General features: G+C 40.9%; 1 protein-coding gene across 9 annotated transcripts in view, besides 5 other annotated features; it reads left to right on the forward strand.

Moving 5' to 3' along the window:
• Window positions 4,360-4,439: an enhancer, noted in NCBI's record as "active region_24558". NCBI's record gives its function as "activates an Ori minimal core promoter by ATAC-STARR-seq in GM12878 lymphoblastoid cells {active_cell/tissue: GM12878}" and the evidence as "EXISTENCE:reporter gene assay evidence [ECO:0000049][PMID:35858748]".
• Window positions 4,510-5,029: an enhancer, noted in NCBI's record as "active region_24559". NCBI's record gives its function as "activates an Ori minimal core promoter by ATAC-STARR-seq in GM12878 lymphoblastoid cells {active_cell/tissue: GM12878}" and the evidence as "EXISTENCE:reporter gene assay evidence [ECO:0000049][PMID:35858748]".
• Window positions 4,798-18,145, forward strand: part of UBR2 (ubiquitin protein ligase E3 component n-recognin 2) — a 129,477-nt gene continuing 116,129 nt past the window's right edge. For 5 of the 9 annotated variants that reach the window (XM_017010594.2, XM_011514438.3, XM_047418493.1 and 2 more), the window contains exons 1-2: window positions 4,798-5,300; window positions 14,503-14,762. In XM_017010594.2, coding sequence (XP_016866083.1) covers window positions 5,142-5,300; window positions 14,503-14,762 — 419 coding nt within the window. In that variant the 5' untranslated portion in view covers window positions 4,798-5,141. The remainder of the gene's footprint in view (window positions 5,301-14,502; window positions 14,763-18,145) is intronic. The other 4 variants (NM_015255.3, NM_001363705.2, XM_047418495.1 and 1 more) reach the window with 1 other exon arrangement.
• Window positions 6,062-6,191: a silencer, noted in NCBI's record as "silent region_17205". NCBI's record gives its function as "represses an Ori minimal core promoter by ATAC-STARR-seq in GM12878 lymphoblastoid cells {active_cell/tissue: GM12878}" and the evidence as "EXISTENCE:reporter gene assay evidence [ECO:0000049][PMID:35858748]".
• Window positions 13,529-13,588: an enhancer, noted in NCBI's record as "active region_24560". NCBI's record gives its function as "activates an Ori minimal core promoter by ATAC-STARR-seq in GM12878 lymphoblastoid cells {active_cell/tissue: GM12878}" and the evidence as "EXISTENCE:reporter gene assay evidence [ECO:0000049][PMID:35858748]".
• Window positions 13,679-13,728: an enhancer, noted in NCBI's record as "active region_24561". NCBI's record gives its function as "activates an Ori minimal core promoter by ATAC-STARR-seq in GM12878 lymphoblastoid cells {active_cell/tissue: GM12878}" and the evidence as "EXISTENCE:reporter gene assay evidence [ECO:0000049][PMID:35858748]".

Below are 18,145 nucleotides of genomic sequence, written 5' to 3' on the forward strand. Positions count from 1 at the left end.
TTTCGCTCTTGTCACCCAGGCTGGAGTGTAATGGCGTGATCTTGACTCACGGCAACCTCCACCTCCCAGGTTCAAGCAATTCTGCTGCCTCAGCTTCCCAAGTAGCTGGGATTCAGGTGCCTGCCACCACGCCCAGCTAATTTTTGTATTTTTAGTAGAGCAGGTTTTCACCATGTTGGACAGACTGCTCTTAAACTCCTGACCTCAGGCTATCTGCCCGCCTCAGCCTCCCAAAGTGCTGAGATTACAGGCATGAGCTACCGTGCCTGGCCTGCATCATAATGTATTTAACCTTATTGATGAACTCAGTGTCTCTTTCCAATGCTTCAGGTGATTTAAATAATACTGAATTATGGCCAAGAGCCGTGGCTCACACCTGTGATCCCAGCACTTTGGGAGGCCAATGAGGGCGGATGACTTGAGGTCAGGAGTTCCAGACCAGCTTGGCCAACATGGTGAAGCCCTGTCTCTACTGAAAAAAAAAAAACAAAAATTAGTTAATTAGTTGGGTGTGGTGGCAGGTGGCTGTAATCCCAGCTACTCAGGAGGCTGAGACAGAAGAATCACTTGAACCTGGGAAGTGGAGGTTGGAGTGAGCTGAGATCATGCCACCCCACTCCAGCCTGTATGACAGAATGAGACTCTCTATTTAAAAAAAAAAAAAAAAAAAGAAAGAAAAAAAATTGAGTGAAATTCCTTGGTGACAGAGTGAAACTTTGTCTCAAAAACAAACAAATAAACAAACAAAAACTCCTTTTCCCTAGCCTCCTGTACTTCTTTCTTGGATATAAAATCTTTGCTTATCTCCTCCAGTGTTTTTAATAACATTTGTAAAAGTTCTTTCCAACTTTCTGACTTGTGTCTGTTTCTTCCTTCGTCATTTTTGTTTTAGTCTCTCTTCCATAGGCTTTGCTCAAGTATCTGTACACAACCGCCTGTCTTCATATTTAAGAATGACTTACTAAAAATATGATTAGAAGTTTTATGCATGGGTGGGGTGAACTGACTATACCATTTTGTTGGGGTCTTATCCTCTACAGAATTTTTTTTTTTTTTTTGAGATGGAGTTTCACTCTTGTTACCCAGGCTGGAGTGTAGTGGCACAATCTCGGCTCACTGCAACCTCCACCTCCTGGATTCAAGCGACTCTCATGCTTCAATCTCCCGAGTAGCTGGGATTACAGGTGCCCACCACCATGCCCAGCTTTTTTTGTATTTTTAGTAGAGACAGGGTTTCATCATGTTGGCCAGGCTGGTCTTGAACTCTTGACCTCAGGTGATCCACCCGCCTCGGCCTCCCAAAGTGCTGGGATTACAGGCATGACCTCTACAGATTTTTTTGGTGGTGAGATAATCTACCCCTCTGGAGAAGACCCTCCCAAACTCTTGCCTGGGAGGTATAAGCCTGGCCACTAAGGTTCTCAGAGCCAAATGGGGAAATAAGCTAGGTTATCCCTGTTCACTATGTAGACTTTGATTCATCTCTCTTGAATGCAGTGCGGTATCCCTGTCCTCAGCTGTGTCTGGTGTCTCCCAGTCAAAAGGCCCTCAAGTGTAGTCACTCTAGAGGATAAAGCTCTAGTCTTCTTCCAGAGTAGGAAGTGAGATCTAACTTCTTGCTATACAGACTTTCAAACAATAAGCTTGCTTTTAGCATTGTCTTCACCCACTTTCAGAGTTACATGGTGCCTCAAATTTTTAAGTCTTTCAGGGTACTGCATATTAATTAGCTTGACTCAGTGTCTCTACTGCTAGCGGAGGTTTCAGCATTCTCTTAGTTACTTCTCAACCACTTGCTTTCCACCAAATTTTGGTGCTGTCATCCTCTCTTCTTTTCTTTTTTTCTCCCTTTACTGTCATGAGGTATTCAATCTGCCACATTTAACTGGAAGTTGGGGCTTAGCTCTTAATGCCCCCATGGGAACAGAAAACAAGACCCTGGGTCAAAGAAACATTGGAATTGCAACTGAGATCCTCTACATAAAGCCAGGGCTTTCAAAGGAATGTCGTATCAGTGAAAGGGTAGACTAGACAAAAAACCCACCAACTGGCATACAAAAATGACAAAGAAGCTCTTTACCTTGACTCTGAGTAGGAAAAAGAACTCTCCTTAAAAATTCATAGACAGGCCGGGCACTGTGGTTCACACCTGTAATCCCAGCACTTTGGGAGGCTGAGGTGGGTGGAACACCTGAGGTCAGGAGTTTGAGACCAGCCTGACCAACATGGTGAAACCCTGTCTCTACTAAAAATACAAAAATTAGTCAGGCATGATGGTACGTGCCTATAATCCCAGCTACTTAGAAGGTAACTATGCTCACCACTATACCACCAACGCATCTAATCCCAGCTACCTAGGAGGCTGAGGTAGGAGAATCGCTTGAATCCGGGAGGCAGAGGTTGCAGTGAGTCAAGATTGCACCATTGCACTCCAGCCTGGACAACAAAGTGAGACTCTGTCTCAAAAAAACAAAAATTATAGACAGAGAAATGGCACACAACTGAATTAATACTATTAGGGAATCTTCAAGCCTAGAAACTGACGTACAATTGGTCCTAGATACAGGATACTCCTAGAGTGCCTGGTCCTGAGTATACGATGTTTTCTAGGTTGTCTGGCCTTGCAGAAGCAAATGAAAAAGTATTTTGAAAGTATTAATACATGGAGAGTCCCACTGCTAATGCTACTAATGCTAAGTGAAGATGATCTCCAAATTCATAATTATGACACACAAGGGAAACAATTTTTTTTTGAGTCAGGCTCTCATTCTTTCACCCAGGTTAGAGTTCAGTGATACAGTCATAGCTCACTACAGGCTTGAACTCCTAGGCTCAAGTGATCTTTCCTGTCTCAGCCTCCCAAAGTAGCTAGGACTACAGACATGGGCCACCATGTTCGGCTAATTTTTAAATTTTTTTGTAGAGATGGGGTCTTGCTATGTTGCCCAGGCTGGTCTCAAACTCCTGGCCTCAAGTTATCCTCCAATCTTGGCCTCCCAAAGTTTTGGTATTACAGGTGTGAGCCACAATGCTCGGCCTGAAACAAATAATGTTAGGAAGCAAATAATGTTAAGAACAGAAATTGCCTTTACAGTCTATTAACGACTTAAATTCTATGTTAGGACAGCTCAAGAGATGTTGTTTTTGCTTCTAGGCTGGGACAATCCCAGTTTTCTTCCAAGTTGACTCTGTCCTGAGTGGATCAGTGTAAGGAAGTTGGGCAAAAAAAGAAAAATACATAGAAGAATATTTCAAGATATCTCATTATAAATATCTGTACAGATATGTGCATACTTTTTTCTGGACAGACTCATAAGACAGTGTCAAAAATGATTTTCTTTGGGGAGAGGGACTTGGGGTAAGAGGAATAGGAAGTTTTCAATTTTCCTTTTTTAAAACATTCCTTTCGAGTTTGAATTTCTGATGTTTTATATGTATATATATATATAACTTTTAAAAAGTGATAAGAAGGCTTACTTGTATTGTGAGGTTACAGGGATACAGGCAGTTTCTTATTTCCTTTTTTAAAAAACTGGTTAATATCATAGTATTGGTTTAAAAAAAATCCCAAAACAACATAAACATAAACATGTCCTAAACCTGGTCTGGCTCAGAACTTTTCCCCCCTATATGTAATTTACAACCTACTTCTGGGAATAAATTAACACACTTGACAAAAGGTATAAACAATTTTCTGACAAACTCTAGAGACTGAAGACTTCTAAGAAGCCCAGTCACCCAGCTGTCAGTCAAGAGTCTAATTACCTTTAACTAAACATAGTTTTCTTTGATAGCTAGTCTAACAATGTTTACCTATTTCTTTTTTTTTTTTTTCCTTCTTTTTTGATACAGGGTCTCAGCTGTGTCACGCAGGCTGGAGTGCAGTGGGCTGATCACAGCTCACGATGGCCTCAACTGCCTGGGCTCAAGCAATCCTCCTGCCTCAGCTTCCCGAGTAGCTGGGACTACAGGCGTGCCACCACACCTGGCTAATTTTTTGATTTTTATCAAGAGGGTCTCGCTATGTTGTCCAAACTGGTCTCAAACTCCTGGGCTCAAGTAGTCTGCCCCCCTCGGCCTCCCAAAGTGCTGGAATTACAGGCATGAGCCACCAAGCTTGGTCTGATTATCTGTAGAAATTAAATGTCTCTATCAAGAGGAAATCTTTTAATTGGCCTAATAGACTCTTTTTCCTTTGCAGCAAGATTTGTGATAAAGTTTATAAGTGGTCATCACTAAAGTTTTTGAAAAATTTTTTAAAACATGTTTTAAACCTTCAAAAAAGTGGGTAATGTTCACCTCCATTACTCGTATAAAAGATATGGGTTCGATGGATGACAGGACATAGAACCACAGGAATAGAATGTAATTCATTCATTCCTTTGACAAGTATTTGAGTGCCTACCCTATGCCAGACTGGCAAGTCCTTGAGGGTCTACCATGTGCCAGGCAGTGTTCTTGAAGCTGGGGATACAAAAATGAACAAACGAGATTCGGAGAATAAAACTACAGTTCCCACAGTATCTTTCTCTTTGGCTTTTTTCCAGGGGGCGCTGCTTTCCGCGACTGTCTTCCCATGATTCTCGTTGGGCAGAAAAGCCCCGCCCGCTTATCTGCCATTTAAGCCAGCGCCCCTTGAGAATGGACTACAACTCCCACAATGCATTCGAGGGGCACCGTGTTAGGGCGCCACCTTTTTCCCGGCTGTGCTGTACCTACAGCACCCAGAACTACAGTACCCAGAAAGCTCCGCTTCCCCTCCTGGGTGTTATTGCCCCTTTCCTGGTGCAGGACGCGGTAGTGGCCAGCGAGAGTGTCAGGCCTGGGGTTTTCTGTGTCCTTCCCTGGGTCAGGGACGAGCCAGTGACTTGACTCTTGGGCGCTAAGCTTGGGAGGGAGCGCAGGAGGCCGCTGTCCTTCCTTTCCGGTTCACGTCACCCTTCTCTCCCTCTGTTGCTCCACCTGCAGCCACTTGGACGGCTCCGGGACTGATTGCCTGGGGCAGGGGTGGCAGTCGAGGCCGCCGGGGCCGAGGTGAGGCTGCAGCTCTCCGGGCGGCGGTAGCGCTGGGGAGGAGGAGGAGAGAAGATGGCGTCGGAGCTAGAGCCAGAGGTGCAGGCCATCGACCGGAGCTTGCTGGAATGTTCGGCCGAGGAGATTGCGGGGGTGAGTGCCGGAACCCGGGCGGGTGCGTCTGCCCCTCGCAGGCCGCGCCTGTGGGGAGGAACCGACTCCTGGACGTCCTGGAGCAGCCCGACCCAGACTTGGGGAAACAGCTGTGCCGGCCCTCGCCTTGTGGGGTAATAGCCCGGGGAGGCCACCGATCCTGCCCCTCTCTTTCCATTTTCAACAGCTGCCAGAGCTGCGCTGTGCACTAACTACGTTTACTTTCCCTTTCTGCCCAGGAGAACCCACGGCTCTTCCATCATACCTCCTTTCCCCCAGCCTCCCATTAAGTCTCCCAACACATGGGCCTTTGCCCTTTATATCAGCTCTTGGAAGAGGAGAAGAGACGCTTCTTGTGTTTTTGGTATAATCGCCCTAGTTTATCTAGTTAATTGCTTTTCCTGAGACAAGCGAAGCCGTGTGCTCCTCCGACTAAACATGCCACCCTAACCGAGCCCCTCTTTTGTTTTTGGGACTGCCCCAGGCACCAAGAAGGCAAACGACACTACCCTTCGTTATCCGTTTCAGTGCTATCTTTTTTTTTTGCACCGGTTTGATTAGTTGACAACGTTGATGCATGTGTGGAAAGTTTACTGAGTATGAGAAAGTAGTCGTGGAGTCTGGGAAATTTTAAAAATATTTTTTCTAGGAGTTAGGGGTAATTGGATGGAGAACAAATGTTATATAACGTTGATAGAGCAGCTTTCAACAAATACTGTATAAGCTAAACGTGAGAACTGGTCACAGTGTAGTAGGAGCAGTTATATTCCAAACGTAAAACCGTTCAAACGCACTATTGCATTAAAACTGTAATATGAATATGCTAGTGTAAATAGCAGAGTTGTAGGAACACCCATTAGAAGAGATTGCCGAGAATGATTATGAATGGACCAAGACAGCTTGGGCCCCACCTCTAAGACCTCCAATTAAAAAGGCTGCTAGGAAGGGAGTGACCCGTGAATAAAAGTCAGCAATCTGAATGCTACGAACAAAATTTGGGATTGGGGGCACTGTGGAGCTGTTGGTCAGTGAGTAGTTATTTTGCGTGAATTGGTGAGGACATTAAGTCCGGGTAGAAAGAAATGTCAGGAGTAGAGGTGAAGACTTTAAAGAAATACGTTGTTAAATGCTGAATCTTTGCTTGTTTGGGTGTGTTTTGTTGTTGTTTGTTTTTGTTTTTGAGACGGAGTTTCGCTTTCGATGCCCAGGCTGGAGTGCAGTGGCGCGATCTCAGCTCACCGCAACCTCAGTCTCCCGGGTTCAAGCGATTCTGCTGCCTCAGCCCCTCGAGTAGCTGGGATTACAGGCATGCACCACCACGCCCGGCTAATTTTGTATTTTTAGTAGAGTTGGGGTTTCTCCATGTTGGTCAGGGTGGTCTCAAACTCCCGACCTCAGGTGATCCACCTGTTTGGGCCTCCCAAAGTGCTGGGATTACAGGCGTGAGCCACTGCGCCCTGCCTTGGTGTGTTTTTTTAAACCTACTTACTTGTTTAGCCTAGGTCTGTTTTCATTTACTTTCTACTTAATGTTGTACAACTCAAGGAATTTCTGCCTTTCGTTTATCGGAGATTTGAAAAAAGAAAATGAAAGTAGTGTTACAAGTAAACTGTTAAATAATAATGACAGCTGTTTGCTCTCCATGCCTCTTCTAATTGATATCTGTTGCTTACCTCAAAGTACTGTTTTGATTTTTTTTCTCTCACTGAATTTTGTGTCTTGGTCCAGTGATACAGGGTACAAATTCCGTTATCCCATTCTAAAAGTGCAAACTATCAAGTGATTAGAGGTTCTCCAATTTGTAGAGGCTCCTGAGGAAACTGGTTATAAAAGTAGTGCGGGAGGCCAGTGCTCCTAGTTCTTGTTCAGTGAAATTCTCAAGCAGATGCAGTAAGGAAAAATCAAGGAAAATGCAACAAAAAATTATTAATTTGGACTTCATTTGAGTTTGTGAAGATCATAATCTGAGCTACATTTTACCCTGTTTACTTTTTTTGTTTGTTTTTTTGAGACAGTCTTGCTCTGTCGCCAGGCTGGAGTGCAATGGCGCAATCTTGGCTTACTGCAACCTCCGCCTCCGGGGTTCAAGTGATTCTCCTGCCTCAGCCTCCCGAATTACAGCTGGGATTACAGGCGTACGCCACCACGCCTGACTAATTTTTGTATTTTTAGTAGACACAGGGTTTCACCACATTGGCCAGGATGGTCTCGAACTCCTGACCTCAGGTTATCCGTCCGCCTTGGCCTCCCAAAGTCCTGGGATTACAGGCGTGAGCCACCGCACACAGCCTACCCTGTTTACTTTTAAATGCCTTTCTGAACAATAAGTTTTTTTTTTTCTTTTTTTGGTAAGAGATGGGGTCTTGCACTGTTGCCCAGACTAGAGTATAGTGACATTATCATAGCTCACTGCAGCCTTGACCTCCTAGGCTCAAGAGATCCTCCTACCTCAAAAACCAATATTAAAATATAAAATTCCTTCAACTATATAACCTTAATCTTGCCTTACTTTGTGAGGACTTTACTGTCTGTATTAAGTTAAAACACCTAACATTTAAAACTGTTTTTTTCAGCTTAGGCTTCAGCTTTTTTATCACACATTTAAATTAATAAAGTTTTTTCTTAGGTTGAAAGCACATTTTAGGGAAGAGAAACAAGTAGAGAAAACAGTGATTGTAGGCTTTAGACCTCTGTCATTGGTAATTTGTTAGGATCACTTCCATTTAAAAATCACCTAATGAGCACTAGTGTCAACCTTTCCACATTTCATTTACACACCGCTTTTCTTATTCCTGTTATAAGGAGGAAGAACTTTTTGTGATCCCATCCATTCCAGCTAGTATGCCTCACAAAGAAAAGTATCTAAGCTGACTCTTTAATATTTGTAAGTTTAGGATATTACAGTGGCCCTCTCTTCTCATTCTTCTCTTTTCTTGTTAGAATTGACTCCATAAGTATGACTTTCCCAACACTTCTTGGCTCTGTTTACTTTCTATACTACATATGGTTATAGTATGTTCCAGTGAGTGATTACGGTTTTAAAAGTAAACATGCCGGGTGTGGTGGCTCTTGCCTGTAATCCCAGCACTTTGGGAGGCCAAGGAGGGCAGATCACAAGGTCAAGAGATAGAGACCATCCTGGCCAACATGGTGAAACCCTGTCTCTACTAAAAATACAAAAATTAACCGGGCATGGTGGTGCACCCCTGTAATCCCAGCTATTCGGGAGGCTGAGGCAGGAGAGTTGCTTGAACCCAGGAGGCTGGGGTTGCAGTGAGCCGAGATCGCGCCACTGCACTCCAGCCTGGGTGACAGAGCGGGACCCCATCTTTTTCCCTGAATATAAAAGAAATACAGGTTGGGAGCACTGGCTCATGCCAGTAATCCCAGCTATTTGGGAGGCTGAGGTGGGAGGACTGCTTAAGTCTAAGAGTTTGAGACCAGCCTGGGCAACATTAGCTATACCCTGTCTCTACTAAAAAAAAATAAAATAAAATAAATAAGCTGGGTGTGGTGGCATGAACTTGCAGTCCTAGCTACTCAGAAGGCTAAGCAGGGAGGATCGCTTGAGCCCAGGTGTTAGAAGTTACAGTGAGCTATGATCATGCCACTGTACTCCATCTTGGGTGATACAGTGAGACCCTGTCTTCAAAAAAAATTTTGTTTTAATAAATAATGAATTTGTTAAGTTTTATGTAGAGTTTTAGGTCTGTATTGGTTATCTTTTTGCTGTACATTTTTTAAACCGTTTTATTGAGATATAACTCACATACTGTACAGTTAAATTCAGTGGTTTTTAGTATATTCAGATTCATGCAATCATCACTATGATCAATTTTGGGACATTTTTATCACCCCAAAAAAGAAATCCTGTACCTATTGGCAGTCACTTCCCTTTCACACCTAAACTCCTGAGGTCTAATCAACTACTAATTTTTGTCTGTGTAGATTTGCCTATTCTGGATATTTCGTATAAATGGAATTCAACATATTGTCATTTGTGGCTGACTTCTTTCTCTTAGATAATGTTTTAAATATTTATCCATGTTGGGCCAGGCGCGGTGGCTCACACCTGTAATTCCAGCACTTTGGGAGGCCAAGGCAGGTAGATCACAAGGTCAGGAGATCGAGACCATCCTGGCTAACACGGTGAAACTCCGTCTCTACTAAAAAATACAAAAAATTAGCCGGGCGTGGTGGCAGGCGCCTGTGGTCCCAGCTACTTGGGAGGCTGAGGCAGGAGAATGGCATGAACCCGGGAGGCGGAGCTTGCAGTGAGTCAAGATCGCGCCACTGCACTCCAGCCTGGGCAACAGAGCGAGACTCTGTCTCAAAAAAAAAATAATAAAAATAAAATATTTATCCATGTTGTACCATGTACAGGTTGAGTATTGTTACGCTTGCCACCAGAAGTGTTTTGGATTTTGGATTTTTTTGGATTTTAAAATATTTGCAGTTATACCAGTTGAGCATCCTTAATCCAAAATCCAAATGTTCCAATGAGCACTTCTTTGAGCATCGTGTGGGCATGCAAAGTTTCAGATTTTGGATCATTTTGGATTTCACGTTTTCAAATTAGGGATGCTCAACCTGTGTCAGTAATTCTTTCTTTTTTATTGCCAAATGACATTCCTTTGTATAGATAAACCATATATTATTTATCTGTTCATCAGTTGGTGAATATTTGGGTTGTTTCTACTTTTTGGGTATTATGAATCATGTTGCTGTGAACATTTTTTACAAATTTTTGTGGGGACATATGCTTTTGTTTCTCTTGGGTATATACATACCTAGAAGTGAAATTGGTGGGTCATATGTTAACTATTTTGAAGAACTGCCAGATTTTTCCAAAGCAGTTGCATTGTTTTACATTCCCACCAGTAGTGCATGAGAGTTCCAATTTCTCCAGATCCTTGCCAACACTTGTTTTTGCCTGTGTTTTGATTACAGCCATTCTTTTGGGTGTTATGCCTTCTCATTGTGGTTTTGATTTGCATTTCCCTCATGAGTCATGTTGGAACATCTTTTTATGAGCTTATTGGCCATTTTTATGTCTTCTTTGCCTATTTTCAATTAGTCTTTTGACCTATTAAATTTCTATATTTTATTTGTAAATATTCTCCTTAATTTGTAGAGCTCTTAATATAATTTGTTTAAAATTTTTCTCAATATATTCCCTAAAACTCCCACTTAAACACTATTGTTTTTATGGTTATGAGCACTAGTTGTTTTATGATTAACTTACATGTTGCTTATCCTTGTTTGAAAGCAAAACCAAAAGTAGTTAAAGGATACAATTTTAATTGGGTATAGAATAATAGAGACTGTAATAAAAGGCTAACTAACCTCTAGGGATTCTTTCATTTTTCATTTCATTTTTATTTTATTGTACTTGCTTTCTATCCCAAGGCTTAAATTTAGTATTTAATAGAGGGAAAGCTCCTGGAAACATTGTCATAACATGTTTACTTTAGAGGAATGAGTTGACAGTTTCTTTACTTCCCTTAAGAGGGACTTGTAGTAAGATAGTGAATGCTTATTACTCTCTTATGCCACATGGGTGTGACAGCTACAAGTGTCTGAAATAAAGACAAAAGGCCAACCAAACTGGAAATCTTAATTTTTCATGTTGAAGAAACAGTTGCAGTTAGCATATGTTAGAACTAATATGAAAAGCTATAGATTTTATTCTTTGGGGAAATGTGTGAGCTACTTCTGAAAGACAGTCATAAATTTTTCTTGCTTTTTATATTAAGTATGTATGTTTAATCAGCTTAAAGTGCCTGTAATAGAGCCCAAATCTTTTAGGTGATTGTGATTTTTTCATATAATGGTAGTAAAGTTTTTGGTTTTGAGACGGAGTCTCACTCTGTCCTCCAGGCTGGAGTACAGTGGCGTGATCTAGGCTCACTGCAACCTCCACCTCCTGAGGTCAAGCGATTCTTTTGCCTCAGCCTCCCAAGTAGCTGGGATTACAGGCGTGCACCACCACTCCTGGCTAATTTTTGTATTTTTAGTAGAGATGGGGTTTCACCATGTTGGCCATGGTGGTCTCGAACTCCTGGCCTCAAGTGATCTGCCCACCTTGGCCTCCCAAAGTGCTGGGATTATAGGCGTGAGCCACTGTGCCCAGGAGTAGTAAAGATTTGAAAAATGGGGAGCATATGCATGCCTTTCTTGGACCAGACTTTTAAGTCTTGTTATTTATAATAATATGTAATAAAGAGTGAAATACTTGCTTGTTTTACTAATAATATTTTTATGTAAAGTGGCTAGTTTTTTTTTTGTTGTTTGTTTGTTTTTTGAGACAGGATCTCACTCTGTCACCCAGGCTGAAGTGCAGTGGCGTGATCATGCCTCACTGAAGCCTCAACCTCCGGGGCTCAGGTGATCCTCCCACCTCAGCCTCCTGAGTAGCTGGGACTACAGGCATGCACCACCATGCCCAGCTAATCTTCTTTTATTTTTAGAAGAGACAGGGTTTTGCCATATTGCCCAAGCTAGACTCGAACCTCTGAACTCAAATGAGCCACCCGCCTTGGCCTCCCAAGTGCTGGGATTACAGGCATGAGCCAAAGAGCCTGGCCGATTTTTTTTTTTTTTCTTAACCAGAAGCTGATACTAGCGTCTGAATTTTTGTTGAAGAAATCTATGAACAAATTTGCTCTCGTTACAGTTACTAGACTGCATAATTTTTTTTTAGAAAGCATCCATGCTAGCCTGTAGTCCCAGCTACTTGGGAGGCTGAGGCAGGAGAATGGCGTGAACCTGGGAGGCGGAGCTTTCAGTGAGCCGAGATCGCGCCACTGCACTCCAGCCTGGGTGACAGAGCAAGACTCCGTCTCAAAAAAAAAAAAAAAAAAAAAAAAGCATCCCTTCTAAAGTAACCTTTCATTCTTGTATTAAAATTTTGCAACAGTGAAGTTTTACAGGAATGGGAACATAAAATATAAGGAAAAAAACTGGTTTTTAAATAAAATCTTTCAATATGTTGTAAAAAAAAGTCCGAAGCACTTAACTTTCTAGGATCATGGAGGTGAATTATTTTGGTCTTATTGCTTAATTTTTCTTTCATAAAGAGTAAATTGAATCCTAGCACCTTTGGGAGGCCGAGGTGGGCAGATCACCTGATGTCAGGAGTTTGAGACAAGCCTGGTCAACATAGTGAAACCTTGTCTCTACTAAAAATACAAAAATTAGCCGCGTGTGGTGGTGCACACCTGTAACCCCAGCTACTCAGGAGGCTGAGGCAGGAGAATCACTTGAACCTGGGAGGCAGAGGTTGCAGTGAGCCGAGATCGTACCACTGCACTCCAGCCTGGGCGACAGCACGAGACTCAAAAAAAAAAAAAAAAAAAAGCGCTTAGGATCATTTGACTACCTTCATTCTTGTTTTGGTTTGCTGACAATGGGTGAAAAATGAGACATTTACCTTTGAATGAGGCCAAAACGAGGTCTTTTAGCTCAAAGAATAAGATTCTAGTATGCTTGTTGAGGACTCTTTTTCTTTTTTTAAAACTTGTCCTCTTTATAATTACTGAGCTTAAAGGATGTGTATGTATATATAAAATTTTGATTGAGTCACTCTGAAGGGAGAGAATACTTAAAGCCTGTAGGATTGTCTCCTAAGAAATGATGCTGCTGCTGCTGTTTTATTTTTATTTTTATTTTTTTTTCCCTAACCACTTGGCCACCAGGGAAGAAATGCTGTTGTTTTGAAAGTAATTTAGTCTCTTTCCTACTTGCATAATGTAAACACAACAATGTTAGTAATATTTGGAAAATAGTTTAGTTTCACTTTAAGCATGAAAACTCTTTCACCGTTTTTGGTTATAAGCTTCTATCCAGTCCCTTAACTTATGAACAAAATTTTTACATTTTTAGTAAAAGTTCTCTGAAAACAGAAATTGACTAGAAAGTTAATATACATCACCTCATGCATATTTAAAATCTCTCTGTATGTTGTTTTTAGAAGGAGTGGTCTGAAGAATATACAAGTAATAGCTAAAATGAAGACCTTATGTTGACTTCTTATGATGTTACATATCACTTGAACATACTTTTTTTTTTTTTTTAAATAAAAATGTAACTGGAATTAGGTAGTAATCCATAGGTAAACATTGGAGGTTTTTTTTAATTTCAGCTTTTACTTTAGATTTAAGGAATACATGTGCAGGTTTGTTACATGAGTATATTGCACCTGGGTAGTGAGCATAGTACCCAATAGGTAGTTTTTCAACTCACTTCCCCTTCCTCTTTCCCTCCATCTGTGGGTTTTGTTCACGGTTCAGTTAACTGCATTCTAGCAGAAGTGAGTCTTTTTTTTTTTTTGTCCTTTGAGACAGACTCTTGCTCTGTCGCCCAGGCTGGATCTTGGCTCACTACAACCTCTGCCTCCTGGGTTTAAGCGATTTCTCCTGCCTCAGCCTCTTGAGTAACTGTGATTACAGGCATGCGCCACCACATCCAGCTAATTTTTATATTTTTAGTAGAGAAGAGACTTCACCATGTTGGCCAGGCTGGTCTTGAACTCCTGACCTCAGGTGATCTGCTTGGCCTGGCCTCCCAAAGTGCTGGGAAGCTTTTCAGATTTTTCGGTGTGGATACCCAGGTTGAGCTGGAAATGGAGAAAATAACAGATTTTGGTGGAGCATGGAGGGGAGATCATGCATTCAGTTATTGAGTTGGTACCTATGAGATCTAAGTAGAATCATGCTTTAAAATTTGTTTTTAGTGGGGAGAGCAAACGGAAAAGGCCTTATAGAGAGAGAGAAGTTGATCAGAGAAAGAAGGCATAATTGGTACAACAGTCTCTTGTGGACTGACTTATTCAATAAGAGACTGGTATATAAACTTGCTTATCAATCATTAAGAAATGTGTATTGGCTGTTCATGTTCACCGTACATATTGGCTGTTCATATTCACCGTACACTCTTCCTATGGACAAACTGACGTGAGAATTGATATCACAATGAGAATAACATTTGAGCAAAGCATTAGGAAGGACATTAGGTGAGCTCAATGGTTCATATCTTATATAATGATTTCTTGTAATTATTTTCTGGTACTGCCTAGAGAAGATTGCTTCAAGAGTCATTTTGCAGGGAAGGAGGGAGGCTTGTTTCATTTTAATTTTACTTACACTTAAAAGTAGGATTTAAACATACTTGGCATTTTAATAGATTAAATTTCTAACGTACGGTGGTGAGTGTTGTAAACAAAATATTTTAATATGCTTTTGTCATTATTTTTGTACCTAAAAGAAAGTAGGGTGAATTTGTTCAAATTAGTTTGTTGGTGTTTAAAACCATTTCTTCTCTTTTCTTCTTTTAAAGAAATGGCTGCAAGCAACTGACCTCACTAGAGAAGTGTACCAGCATTTAGCCCACTATGTACCCAAAATCTACTGCAGGGGTCCCAACCCTTTTCCACAGAAAGAAGACATGCTGGCACAGCATGTTTTGTTGGGACCAATGGAATGGTACCTTTGTGGTGAAGATCCTGCATTTGGATTTCCAAAACTTGAGCAAGCAAACAAACCTTCTCATCTTTGTGGTCGTGTTTTTAAAGTAGGAGAGCCTACATATTCTTGCAGGTAAAATATTTTAATTTTCTTTCTAGGAGGCTCTTGTTTTATTTGACCTCTTTTTTTCCCTGGAACTTTTGAGTTTTTGTTTAAAAATTATGAAATACCATATCTGCTTAAAAATCTGTATTACAAATACATGCTATTTAATAAATAATTAAAGCAAACATTTTTGTAATTATTCTTGATCAAAAAAAATTGTCACCAGCATTCTTGAAGCCCACTGTGTGCTTTCTTCCTTCCCCCATAATTAACTGACATCTTGACTCTTGCAATAATCACTTTCTTGCTTTTCTTGATATTTTTTAGTTACAGTAATTCTGATGTTCAAATTGCCATAGATTTGGCTAGTGAGAGCCCCGTCACACCATCTTGTCTTTTTCACATGCCTTCATTAGTTTGTGGGTGCTTCTTTCCTTTCTGGCACAAGATGCCCCAGCTCACTTTGTACTTGCTCTGACCCGTATGTACAATCAGCTATTTCTTTAAAGATTTTTCTTTCATTTGGGAATGGTAGTTAGAAACCAAGATCTGGGTGCTGTATGCATTTACTGCTGTTAGGAAGACTTTTCTTTTTTAAATTTCTTGGTGAAAATTGAGTATACAAGGGTAGAAGATGGAGAATAAAGTGCCTTGTCCCCTTTTTGACTGTCCAATTTTCCAGAATTAATCATTGTTAACATTTTCCCATATATCATTTCAGAAATTTTCCTTTTTTTTTTTTTTTCTGAGATGGAGTCTTGCCCTGTCACCCAGGCTGGAGTGCAGTGGCGCGATCTCGGCTCACTGCAACCTCCACCTGCCAGGTTCAAGTGATCCTTCTGCCTCAGCCTCCCAACTGGCTGGGATTACAGGCTTAGCCCATGACCATGCCCAGTTAATTTTTGTATTTTTAATAGAGACGGGGTTTCACCATGTTGGCCAGGCTGGTCTCAAACTCCTGACCTCAGATGATCCACCTGCCTTGGCCTCCCAAAGTGCTGGATTACAGGCATGAGCCACTGTACCCGGCCTCTTTCAGAAATTTTCTTTGTGTATATAGGCCAAGATATATGGCAATTTTAAACCTACATACATAAATACAGATGGGAATATGTTACATATACTGAGCTAAATTTTCTTTTCTGTATTTAACCATAGCTTAACATCTTTCCGTATCAGCTTATGTAGCTAGATAATATTCTTTTGTGTAGATGTGTTGTCAGAGACATTATTTAACTTTTTCCTTTAAACTTTTTCCTGTAAAACTGAAATTTAATAAGCTAATTTTGGTGAAAGCCTCTGGTTATCTATGGTAGTTTTCTTTATTAGCTTATTTAGAATATCAATAGAGAACAGTATATATATTGAAAAACTATTAGACCTAGTTTTTTGTTTGCTATTACAGAAACTACTTTGAATATTCTGTTGATGTTTGGAGCAGTAGACCTAGTTGAACCTCATAATTTATGGATAGGAAATTGAGACCCCATTGTTCAGTAATGTTCTTTGTATTAATAGGATCTAGTTCCAAATTATTTGTATATCTTGTCTTTTAATCTTCAATCTGGAATGTTTCCTCAATTTTTCTGTGACTTTCATGATCTTGACACTTTTGAAGATTACAGACCAGTTATTTTGTCAATGTCCCCTCAATTTGGGTTTGTCTGGTTTTCGTAATTAGATTCAAGTTGCATCTGTGACAGGAGTGCCACAGAAATCATGTGTTTTAACCCTGTCAGGTGGTATGTATGATTTTGATTAGTTCTACAACTGGTGATATTGATCACTTGATTAAAGGGATGTCTGCAAGACTTCTCCACTGTAATGTTACTCTTTTCCCCTATGTGATCAATAAGTGTGTTGTTGGGAAGTACTTTGAGACTATTAAGTATCCTCTTCATTATCAAACTTTCAATTTATTTATTTATATCAGTATTTGTGGGGTCTCATTATTATGCTCAAATTGTCCTAGATTTGGTCAATAGGAGCCCCTTCAAGCTATCTTTGTTCTTTTTCATATCTCTATCATCCTTTGAGCTCTTTTTCTTTTCCTTTCCTTTTCCCTTCTGTTTTTTCTTTTCTTCCTGGTACAACAAGATGTCCCAGGCAATCTTGAGCTTTCTCCTGCCCCAACCCTGAAATCAACCATTTTGCCAAGGATCCTGGTTCTTTTTAGTGGAAAATGGTGTTTACAAATAAGATGGTATGTGTGCATGTTGCTGTTGGTGTTATAACTCTCAGGCTGTCTCAATGGAGCTTTATTTTATACCTATCTGTATAAATGTATTGAAATAGATATTGGAAACCATGCATCTGTAGTGATCTCTTCTGTTCCCATCTAAGGTTCTTTCTAGTTTTCTTCCTTTGCATATTTTTAATTTCCTTCTCTGACAAGAGAAAACCTGATTCTCATTTTCCTCAAAATATTTGCTTATTTAATTATTCCCCTGTATGCAGCCATTCTGCTGCTGCTGCTGCCCAACTCTCTGCATAATTGCCCCCCTTTACCCCATTTGGATTTTGTGTTCAGTACTGGGTCACAGTGGCCTTTCCCTCTTTTTTTTTTTTTTTTTTTTTTTTTGAGATGGAGTCTCACCCCGTAGCCCAGGCTGGATTGTAGTGGCATAATCTCGGCTCACTGCAACTTCTGCCTCCCGGATTCAAGTGATTCTCCTGCCTCTGCCTCCCGAGTAGATGGGACTACAGGCGCACACTGGCTAATCTGTGTATTTTTAGTAGGGATGGGGTTTCACCACATTGGCCAGGCTTGTCTCAAATTCCTGACCTCAAGTGATCCACCTGCCTCAGCCTCTCAAAGTGCTGGGATTAAAGGCCTGAGCCACCGTGCCCGGCCTCCCTCCTGTTTTGTTAGGGCAGATCCAAAGTAAGCCTTGTTCTAGGATGTATAGTTTTTCTTATTTGTGGGGGTCCCACAAATAACAGAGACACTCTGATCACATAAGTAATGCCAGGGATTTAAAGGTTACCTCCCTGGAAACCAGATCAAAGACCAGCCAGGTTCTTTATTAGATTGTTGAGAGGGTTAGTGAGATCCTTTGTGTGTAGTACTTTACACAATACTTGGCACACAGTAAACTCATAGTAAATGGCCATGCTGGGTGCTGGGGATGAATATCTCATTTTAAAAGTAGGTGTTTCCATGAAACCCAGCGCCCTGGTAAAATGACACGGAGTCTGTTATTTGGAAAGATTAAATATGGTTATTGGAATTCTGGGGAGGTTTCTAAACTAGACCCTTCAGGATAAAGGTGACTGATATCCATAATGCAGAAGGTTTCTTTAATGAGAAAGAATGATATTAAAGGATCTTTTATATATAGTACTTAGGAAAAGGATTTGTGAAGGGCATAGATTAGTTTTGCTATGGGGAGTTATTTGTTCATAGTTTC

Source organism: Homo sapiens, chromosome 6, assembly GCF_000001405.40.
Source record: "Homo sapiens chromosome 6, GRCh38.p14 Primary Assembly".
NCBI classification, from domain to species: domain Eukaryota; kingdom Metazoa; phylum Chordata; class Mammalia; order Primates; family Hominidae; genus Homo; species Homo sapiens.